At 45.0% G+C, this 10,720-nt stretch overlaps 2 annotated features.

Annotated features, from left to right (window-relative positions):
• Positions 4,175-4,234: an enhancer, noted in NCBI's record as "active region_9128". NCBI's record gives its function as "activates an Ori minimal core promoter by ATAC-STARR-seq in GM12878 lymphoblastoid cells {active_cell/tissue: GM12878}" and the evidence as "EXISTENCE:reporter gene assay evidence [ECO:0000049][PMID:35858748]".
• Positions 5,036-5,330: an enhancer, noted in NCBI's record as "tiled region #5751; HepG2 Activating non-DNase unmatched - State 22:ReprW, and K562 Activating DNase matched - State 18:Pol2". NCBI's record gives its function as "activates a minimal TATA promoter and a strong SV40 promoter by Sharpr-MPRA in HepG2 and K562 cells {active_cell/tissue: HepG2 | K562}" and the evidence as "EXISTENCE:reporter gene assay evidence [ECO:0000049][PMID:27701403]".

The following is a 10,720-nucleotide window of genomic DNA, read 5'->3' on the forward strand; positions in this document are numbered from 1 at the left end:
TGGTCAGCAGAGAAGGAACTGGAATCTGAATTGTGCTTGAAAAGAATCACTGTTCTTATTTAAAAAAAAAAAAAAGGGGGTCTCTTTCGCCCAGGCTGGACAACAGTGGCGTGATTATGGCTCACTGTATCCTCGAACTCTTGTGCTCGAGTGATTCTCACGCCTCAGCCTCCCAAGTAGCTGGGACTACAGAAGTGTGCCACTACACCAAGCTAACTTTTTTTTTTTTTTTGGTAATTTTGTAGAGACAGGGTATTGTCTTGTTACACAGGCTGGTCTCCAACTCCTGGCCTTAAGTGATCCTCCTACCTTGGCCTCCCAAAGTTCTGGGATTACAGGCATGAGGCACCACAACCACCAAGAATCACTGTTGGTAATAGATTTGGAGGAGGTGGCAGGAAGGCTGGAAGTAGAAAATCCCATTAGGTTACTGCCCAGGTAAAAGAAAATGGGACTTGATAAAGGTGACTACCTGAGAATTTAAAGTTTATGCATGTCAAAGTGAAAAGACAAATGGGGAAAAAAGTTTTTCCTGGCTGTATCCCACATAAAGGTTAAATTCCTTAATATACAGATATTCTGCAAATGCAAATGAAATCTAGATCACCAAAGAAAAGTGGTTTGGAAATAGTGGCACCCACCTGTAATCCCAGCTACTCAGGAGGCTGGGGTGAGAGAATCCCTTGAGCCCAGGAGTTGGAGGCTGCAGTGAACTATGATTGCACCACTGCACTCCAGCCTGGGCAGCAGAGTGAGACCCCATCTCTTAAAAAAAGAAAAGAAAAGTGGGCGTAGAATATAAACACAGTTCAGAGCAAAGAAAATACAAATGCTCCTATACAGGCGAATAGATGCTCAGCCCCAATCAGAACAAGAGCAGTGGAAATTAAAGCTATGCTGGAGTGCTGTTTGCCACGGGTCAAATTGGCAAAGATCTAAAATAATGTCTGGAGTAAGATAATATCTTCCAGAGCATATTAGTCTATTCTCATGCTGCTAATAAAGACATACCCGAGACTGGGTAATTTATAAAGAAAAAGAGGTTTAATGGACTCGCAATCATGGCAGGAGACAAAGGAAAAGCGAAGGGACGTCTTACACGGCGGCAGGCAAGAGAGCGTGTGCAGGGAGCTCCCCTTTATAAAACCGTCAGATCTCAGGAAATGTATTCACTATCCGGAGAACAGAACAGGAAAGCCTGCCCCATGATTCAGTTACCTCCTGCCGGGTCCCTCCCACGACATGGGAATTATAGGAGCTACAATTCAAGATGAGATTTGGTGTGATATTTTGACATGTATATACAAAGTATAATGATCCATCAAGGTAGTTAGCATATCCATCACCTCAAACATCATTTCTTTTGTGTTGGGAACATTCAAAATCCTCTCCTCTACCTATTAGAAAATATGCAGTAAGTTACTGTTAACTGTAGTCATAAAATATTAACAGGCTTGCTAGGACATAGGACCAGAAAAAACATAGAAGTCTATGGTTACACCAAGATTGGAGTCATATTTTTCAGTAACTAATGTATTCAGGAAAATTGATGACAAGGAGAACTAGAATCCGTTAAAAAAAAGACTCAAATTGAAGAAAGAGCATCAGTCTTACACAGAGTCTTCCAAATGATAAAGGGGAACTCTTCTTACCAATTTGTTCTACAGGGCTAACAAATTTGATACTAAAACTCGAAAGGGACATGATGGGAGAAAACACACATGGTATTCTCTCTCATGAACATTGTTTAAAATTCCAAACCACATATTAGCAAATCAGATCCAATGATAATGTAAAAAAGGTAACTCATCACAACCAAGTTGGGTGTACTCCAGGAACTGGAGTACAGTTGATTTCACATTGCAAGGTCAACATGATTCATGACAATAGAATGAAGGAGAAAAAAAGTATGAAAATCTCAGTGTAGAAGCATCTAGTAAAATTCAACACCCCTTCATGGTATAATCTTTAGCAAACTAAATATACAAGTACAAAGTTAGGGACAGCCCCAAGACCACCCTCAAGTTTGAAATTCATTAGAAGGACTCAGAGAATTCCCTAGAAGCTATTGTACTCGTGGTTATGGTTCATTACCATGAAAAGGCTCATTAAAATTAACCAAGAGAAGAGGTGCATGGGGCAGCGGCCAGGAGAGGCCATGCGGAGACTCCAGTTGTTCTCTTAGTGGAGTCATAGTGGTATTGCTGGTGAAAATGTGTCACTGGGCCTGAGTCCAGAGTTCATTTACTTCCCAAATGAATATATACATTTATTCTATTGCCAGGCAAAATCCCAGGATATTTTTGAAACCTCACAAAATGCTATTAAAAATCTAGAGAAATGGCCGGGCACAGTGGCTCATGCCTGTAATCCCAGCACTTTGGGAGGCTGAGGTGGGCGGGTTACCTGAGTTCAGGAGTTCGAGACCAGCCTGGCCAACATGGTGAAACCCCGTCTCTACTAAAAATACAAAAATTAGCCAGGCGTGGTGGCATGTACCCGTAATCCCGCTACTCGGGAGGCTGAGGCAGGAGAATTGCTGGAACACAGGAGGCGGAGGTTGCAGTGAGCTGAGATTGCACCACTGCATTCCAGCCTGGGCGACAGAGTGAGACTCTGTCTCAAAAAATAAATAAATAAACATAAAAAATAAAATAAAAATCTAGAGAAATACATGTGGAAGGCTACCCTATAGATAAAGTAAGAAAAAAGAAAAGTATTAAGGAGGACACCCACCTCTATATCAGTTACCTTTTGCTGTGTGACACACTTTCCCAAACTTAGTAGATTCAAAAGGCAGCCTTTTGTTTGCTGGCATTTCTGCGGTTGGCATTTCGGCTGGGGTCACAGCATCCTGTGTCTCATGAGGCATCAGCTGAGCTCACTCAAGTGTTTGGGTCTTGGCAGAGATGACTGACTCATCTCTGCTCTGTCATCCTCCGGAAGGCCAGCCCAGGCAGGCACCAATACAGGGGCTCTTTTTATACTTCCCTCTGCTCTGCTCATATGTGCCAATGTCCAGGTGGCCAAACCACATGTGGCCAAGCCTAGGGCCAGTGTGGACACGAGAAGACAATTCCCTGGAGGACATTATTATTGTTACTATTATTTTGAGACAGAATCTCACTCTGTCGCCCAGGCTGGAGTGCAATGGTGTGATGCTCTCAACTCACTGCAACCTCTGCCTCCTGAGTTCAAGCGATTCTCCTGCCTCAGCCTCCCTAGTAGCTGGGATTACAGGCGCCCACCACCATACCTGGCTAATTTTTGTATTTTTAGTAGAGACAAGGTTTCACCATGTTGGCGAGGCTGGTCTCGAACTCCTGACGTCAAGTGATCTGCCCGCCTTAGCCTCCCAAAGTGCTGGGATTACAGGCTTGAGCCACTGCACCCAGCCTATTATCGTTATTGTTTTGAGACAAGGTCTTGCTCTGTGGCCCAGGCTGAAGTGCAGTGGTGCTCACTGCAGCCTTGACCTCCCCCAGCTGAAGTGATTCTCTCGCCTCAGCCTCCCAAGTAGCTTGGGCTACTGGCACACACCACCACACCTAACCAAACATTACTGTAGTCTACTAATTCTTACCACATACTTGAACATACTGTAAGTAAACTTAAATATATACTTAGTAATGACAGATATTGGTGTATACTGTAGTAAAATTAAACAAATATATACAGATGCTTCTCCACTTAGGATGAAATTATGTCTCAAAAACCCTATTGTAATTTGAAAATATCAAAAATAAGTTGAGAATGCATTTAATACATCTAACCTACCAAACATGCCTTAAGCCTAGCCCATCTTACACATCTCAAAACACTTAGCTTAATCTACAGTTGAGTAAAACCATCTTAACTCAAAGCCTATTTTATAATAAAATACTGACTATGTCATGGAATTTACTGAATACTTTCACTTTTTTCACCATCACTGAAAGTGAAAAACAGAATGGCCGGCTGGGTACTTGGAAGTACGGTTCCTACTGAATGCGTATTGCTTTTGCACCACTGTAAAGTCAAAAAATCGTTAAGTCAAGCAATCATAAGTCAGAGACCATCTGTATCTACAAGAATCCACAGGAAATACTAAAATGAATAGCGAAATGGTGAAAATGGTAAAGCTTTCTCCTATTACTTCCTCATCTCCTGACTCATCTCCGCTCTGACTAATTTCTACCCAACGTTGTACTCTAGGACCTAGCTATTGTAAGAAGGCAAGAAAAAGAAAGAAAAGGTATGAAGATTTGAAAATGAACTAAAATTATCATTAATTTCAGAAAGTTGGAATTTGAACGTAGAAAATCCAAAGGATGCTGGGCGCGGTGGCTCACACCTCTGATCCCAGCACTTTGAGAGACCAAGGCAGGAGGCTCACTTGAGGCCAGGGGTTTGACACCAGACCAGGCAACATAGTGAGACCTTGTCTCTACAAAAAAATTTTAAAAATTAGCCACATGAGCCGGGCGCAGTGGCTCACGGCTGTTATCCCAGCACTTTGGGAGGCCAAGGCAAGCGGATCATGAGGTCAGGAATTCAAGACCAGCCTGGCCAATATGGTGAAACCCCATATCTACTAAAAATACAAAAATTAGCCGGGTGTGGTGGCACGCAACTGTAGTCCCAGCTACTTGGGAGGCTAAGGCAGAAGAATCGCTTGAAACAAGGAGGTGGAGGTTGCAGTGAGTGGAGATTGTGCCACTGCACTCTAGCCTGGGTGACAGAGCAAGACTCTGTCTCAAAAAAAGAAAAATAAAATAAAAATAATAAAATTAGTCAGGTGTAGTGATGCACACCTGTAGTCCCAGTTACTCAGGAGGCTGAAGCAAGAAGATTGCTTAAGCCTGGGAAGTTGAGACTAGAGTGAGCCATGATTGTACCACTGTCACTCTGGGTGACAGAGCAAGACTGTCAAGAAAGAGTCTCAGAAGAGAGAAAGGAAGGGAGGGAGGAAGGAGGAAGGGAGGCAGGGAGGGATGGAGGAAGGAAGGAGAGAAGGAAGGAGGAAGAAAGGAAGGGAGGGAGGGAATCCCCAGATAAATTGTTCAAATTAATAAAAAGTTAATGTGTAAACAAATTGTATACTAACCTAAGAGGATGGATGGGTTTGTAATAAGCAGCTGAGTCTCAGCCAATCATAGCAGCTGAATGTCCACCAGTCAGAGGCTGAAGGCTGCCAAAACATGACCAAACAAGGCAAACACCAAATGTAACCAATCAGGTTATTTCTGTATGTCATTTCCTCTTCTCTGGCTATAAATATAGCTTGCAGAAATTGCTGGGTGATGCATTCTAAACCATTTTCAGTCTGGACTGTTTCCCAGGTACACGAATGTTTTCTCTGCTTACTTAAACTCAGTTATATTTAACTTGTCTTGGATTTTTATTTTTTAATATAGCCAATACAGGAAAATCAATTCTATTTGTATATATAAGAAACCATTGGCCGGGCGTGGTGGCTCATGCCTGTAATCCCAGCACTTTGCGAGTCTGAGGCAGGCGGATCATGAGGTCAGGAGTTCCAGACCAGACTGGCCAACATGGTGAAATCCCGTCTTTACTAAAAATACAAAAAATCAGGTGGGCATGGTGTTGGGAGCTTGTAATCCCAGCTACTTGGGAGGCTGAGGCAGGAAAATCGCTTAAACCCAGGAGGCAGAGGTTGCAGTGAGCCAAGACCACGCCATTGCACTCCAGCCTGGGCGACAGTGTGAGACTCCATCCCAAAAAAAAAAAAAAAGCCAGAAACCATTATAAAATACTTTTTTAATGATGTCATTTGCAAACCACTGAAAACATCAGCACTAGGGATAAATCTAACATTGAATATGTAAGACCTCTACACAGAAAACTACACAACATTGCCAAGAGAAATCTAAATAAATGGAGGAATAAACCAGGCATATGGATTGGAAGACTTACTCTTGTAAAGATATCAGAGACCTCGAAATTTATCTTCAGATTCAAAGCAATCTCAGTCAAAATACCAACCTTTTATGGGAATTGACAAACTGATTCTCACATTTTTATGGCAATACAAAGTGCCAAAAAGAGCCAAAACAACCTTGAAGAACAAGAAAGTGGTGAGCTGGACAATCACTTTGGAGATGTATGGCAGGATCTGCCAGACCTGAGCACACACCGAGCCTATGACTTAGCACTGCTTGTCAGGATGTGTCCCGTAGAAAGGCATGCATATGTTCACAAAAAGATTTATACAATAAAATTTATAGCAGGGTTACTCATAGTAGCCTGGTGAAAGTTGTCCGATTCAAAACGGGATCACTTGTGACAATCCCCTGGCTACATGGAGCTGGGGAAGGGCATGAAGGGAAGTCTCCCGTGTATGATGTGCGCGATTATAAGAACTATCATGAGATGTTTCCAAACCACAGGTCACTACACAAGTCACACAAGGACAGCTAGCTGCTTATACAAGAACACTTGCCTGACACGTGGCCTCACAAGCCCAATCCAAAACTGCGGGAGCCTAGCCAACTCCCAGACTACACGTCCTACCTAGCAACTACCAACACTTGCCAGTCAGAACTCACCAGCTCAGAGCCAGGCACAGTGGCTCATGCCAGTAATCCCAGCATCCTGAGAGGCTGAAGTGGGAGGATCACTTGAGGCCAGGAGTTCGAGACCAGCCTGGACAACATAGTGAGACCCTGTCTCTATAAAAAAGAATTTAATTTTAAAACTATGAAAAATAAAAACTCACCAGCTCTTATAAGACACTTCCAGCTCCAATATACTTTCTTTCAAAATAACCTGTGTAGCCTACGCTTTCCCTAATAAAACCCTAACCTTTTCCCTTCATTCTTTGGACATACCAGAGACCACCATGGTCTGTCTATATGTCCCAGATTGCAGTCCTACTTCTTACACCCAAATACAACCTTTTATTTAAACTTAGAGATTCAACTCTCTGTTTTTTTTTTTTAACTTCTATTTTTGGGGGGACAGAGGCTCGCTATGTCGCCCATGGTGGAGTGCAATGGTGCGATCTCGGCTCATTGCAACTTCCACCTCCTGGGTTCAAGCAGTTCTTCTGCCTCAGCCTCCTGAGTAGCTGGTGTTACAGGCGTGCGCCACCACACCCAGCTAATTTTTTGTATTTTTAGTAGAGATGGGGTTTCACCATGTTGTCCAGGCTGGTCTCGAATTCCTGACCTTGTGATCCACCCACCTCAGCCTCCCAAAGAGTGCTGGGATTACAGGCGCGAGCCATTCCACCCAGTGAAAGCTCCAACCTGAAAACAACCCAAATGTCCCCAAGAGAATGGACACTGGAGGTGGGTATGTTCAACAGTGGCACACTTGTGAGATGAGACGAGCAAACATTGCTGCACACAAACAAATGGATGGGTCCCACAAGCATAACGTTTCGGGAGAGAAGCCAAACTCAGGAGTAATGGCTGCTTCCACAGATGGAAAGCTCAGATGAGGCAGAGGGCACCGTGCCAGAGAATGGCCCTCAGGCAGCACGGCAGTCTCCCAGGACCTGGAGACCATCACTGTCTTGATCTGAATGGTGGTGTTGAATCTGTTTTGTGTGCTCCCTTTCAGGGCATTCTGTGTTTTGACTTCAATAAATAAGTACATTAAGCCAGGCGGGGTGGCTCACACCTGTAATCCCAGCACTTCAGGAGGTCGAGGTTTGTGGATCACGAGGTCAAGAGATCGAGACCATCCTGGCCAACATGGTAAAACCCTGTTTGTACCAAAAATACAAAAATTACCCGGGCATGGTGGCACATGTCTGTAATCCCAGCTACTTGGGAGGCTGAGGCAGGAGAATCGCTTGAACCTGGGAGGTGGAGGTTGCAGTAAGCTGAGATAGGGCCAGTGCAATCCAGCCTGGCGACAGACAGACACTCCATCTCAAAAAAAAAAAAAAAAAAAAAAAGTACATTAAGTACTATGTATCGTACAATGTATCTATGGCTGGATCCCCAGGGGCTATCTCTGGGTGGTGCCCTGGTGGCTGGGGCTCAGGCCAGGCTAGAAGGTTCCATGTCCGTCTTTTTGTTCCTTTGGAATTACCTCCCATGCATATGTATTACCTAGTCAAGGAAAAAAGGCTTCTGTTTAATTAAAAAAAAATGCATTCAGCTTTTCAGCCTCGCAGCTGAGCCCCTTCACTTGGGAGCAGCCTGGGTGCATTTGTGCACAGTTCAGATTCCAGGCAGGACGCTGCTATGGCCCTACCCACCCCCTCATCACTCATCCTGACTCCTGGGGCCAACCCTGGGGCTGTGGGCTGTTGGGTCTGTGGTAGGGTGGAGACCTTAGGCCCATATGTACCAGGAAGTCCCCAGAGAGCCAGTGAGGAGATGCTCAGGACACTCCTGTCAAGGCAGGCCCTCAGCCTGTGACTAAGCCTCCCAGCCATCTTTTTCTTTTCCTTTATGTTGTTTAATATTTTTGTCACAAAGAGCCATGGTCACTGGCAGAGCTGTCACTATTTAAATGGTAGAAAATGCCCCTTTTGGGGCTGGGCATGGTGGCTCATGCCTGTAATCCTGACATTTTGGGAGGCCAAGGTGGGAGGATCACTTGAGTTCAGGAGTTTGAGACCAGCCTGGGTAACATAGCGAGACCCCGTCTACAAAAAATCAAGAAATTAGCCGGGCGTGGTGTATTGGTTTGCTTTCACACTGCTATAAAGTACTGCCCGAGACTGGGTCATTTATAAAGGAAAGAGATTTAATTGGCTCACAGTTCAACATGGCTGGGGAGGCCTCAGGAAACTTATAATCATGGAGGCCATCAAAGGGGAAGCAAGACACCTTCATAAGGTGGCAGAAAGAAGTGCCGAGCAAAGGGGGAAGAGCCCTTTGCAAACCATCAGATCTCTTGAGAACAAATGCACTACGTGAGAGCAGCATGGGGGCACCGCCACCCCCATGACTCAGTTACCTCCACTTGGTCTCTCCCTTGACACGTGGGGATTATGGGGAGTACAATTCAAGATGAGATTTCGTTGTGGACACAAAGCCTAACTATATCACATGGTGTCGCCTGCCTGTGGTTCCAGCTACTCAAGCTGAAGTGGGAGGATCGCTGGAGCCCAGAAGGTCGAGGCTGCAGTTAAGCTGAGATAGTGCCACTGCACTCCAGTCTGGGTAACAGAGCCAACAGATTGGCTGCAATAACAGAAACTGAAAGGAAAATAAATCTCAGGACCCCAAAATCACTAAGCCAACGGGAAAAGTCAAGCTGGGAACTCCATCAGCAAACCTGCCTCCCATCCTATTCCTAAATAAAATAGCTACAAACATAAAAAAGCTATGTCCTTCCCTCAAAATTTGTCCACAGAAAATTCCTTGTGGACAAAAGACACGCAGAACTCAAGAGTCCTCCCTCTGCTCCGGTGAGACAAACGCACAGCTGATGGCTTCTTTGCCCTATTGTTTCACTAAGCTGGACTAAGGCGTAAGTGACTATTCCTATAAATTGTGTATTCAATTAAAGGCTAATCAGAAACTCAAAAGAATGCAAACTTTTGTCTCTTATTTACCTATCACCTAGAAGCCCCCTTCCCGATTTGAATTGTCCCACCTTTCCAGACCATTGAAACGATTCTCCTGCCTCAGTCTTCTGAGTAGCCGGGACTACAGGCACCCACCACCATGTTCGGGTAATTTTTGTATTTTCAGTAGAAATGGGGTTTCACCATGTTGGCCAGGCTGGTCTGGAACTCCTGACCTCAGGTGATCCACCTGCCTCAGCCTCCCAAAGTGTTGGGATTACAGGTATGAGCCATGCACCCAGCCTCAGATACGTTTTGGTTTACCAATTTGGTAACCAACAGAAAGGACTCTGAGGCCGGGCGCGGTGGGTCACGCCTGTAATCCCAGCACTTTGGGAGGCCGAGACGGGCGGATCACGAGGTCAGGGGATCGAGACCATCCTGGCTAACACAGTGAAATCCCGTCTCTATTAAAAATACAAAAAAATAAGCCGGGCGTGGTGGCGGGCGCCTGTTGTCCCAGCTACTCGGGAGGCTGAGGCAGGAGAATGGCGTGAACCTGGGAGGTGGCGCTTGCAGTGAGCCAAGATTGCGCCACTGCACTCCAGCCTGGGCGACAGAGCGAGACTCTGTCTCACAAAAAAAAAAAAAAAAAAAAAGACTCTGAGTGGAGGTGACCCTGACCTTCAACAAATCTATCAGTGATTGGTACCAGCTTGAGCTTTCTTTACGGCTCAAACCAATAGGACAATTTGCTGAAGACTGGGAGCTTCCCTCCCTCCAGAGAATCCCAGATCTCCCAAAATTTGGTTGAGATCTACAGTTTATTTTTCTGTGCAACTGTCAGAGGCGTGTGAACCAGAGCAACTCCACCTTGAATAGGGGCTGGGTAAAATGAGGCTGAAACCTACTGGGCTGCATTCCCAGACGGTTAAGGCATTCTAAGTCACAGAATGAGACTAGGAAGTTGGCACAAGATACAGGTCATAAAGACCTTGCTGATTTAAAAACAGGTTGCAGTCAAGAAGCCAGCTAAAACCCACCAAAACCAAGATGACCACAAGAGTGACCTCTGGTCATCCTCACTGCTACACTCCCACCAGCACCATGAGAGTTTACAAATGTCATGGTAACGTCAGGAAGTTACCCTATATGGTCTAAAAAGGGGAGGCATGAATAATACACTCTTGTTTAGCATATCATCAAAAAGTAACCATAAAAACGGGCCATCAGCAGCCCTCAGGC

This window comes from Homo sapiens, chromosome 14 (genome assembly GCF_000001405.40).
Source record: "Homo sapiens chromosome 14, GRCh38.p14 Primary Assembly".
Lineage (NCBI taxonomy): Eukaryota > Metazoa > Chordata > Mammalia > Primates > Hominidae > Homo > Homo sapiens.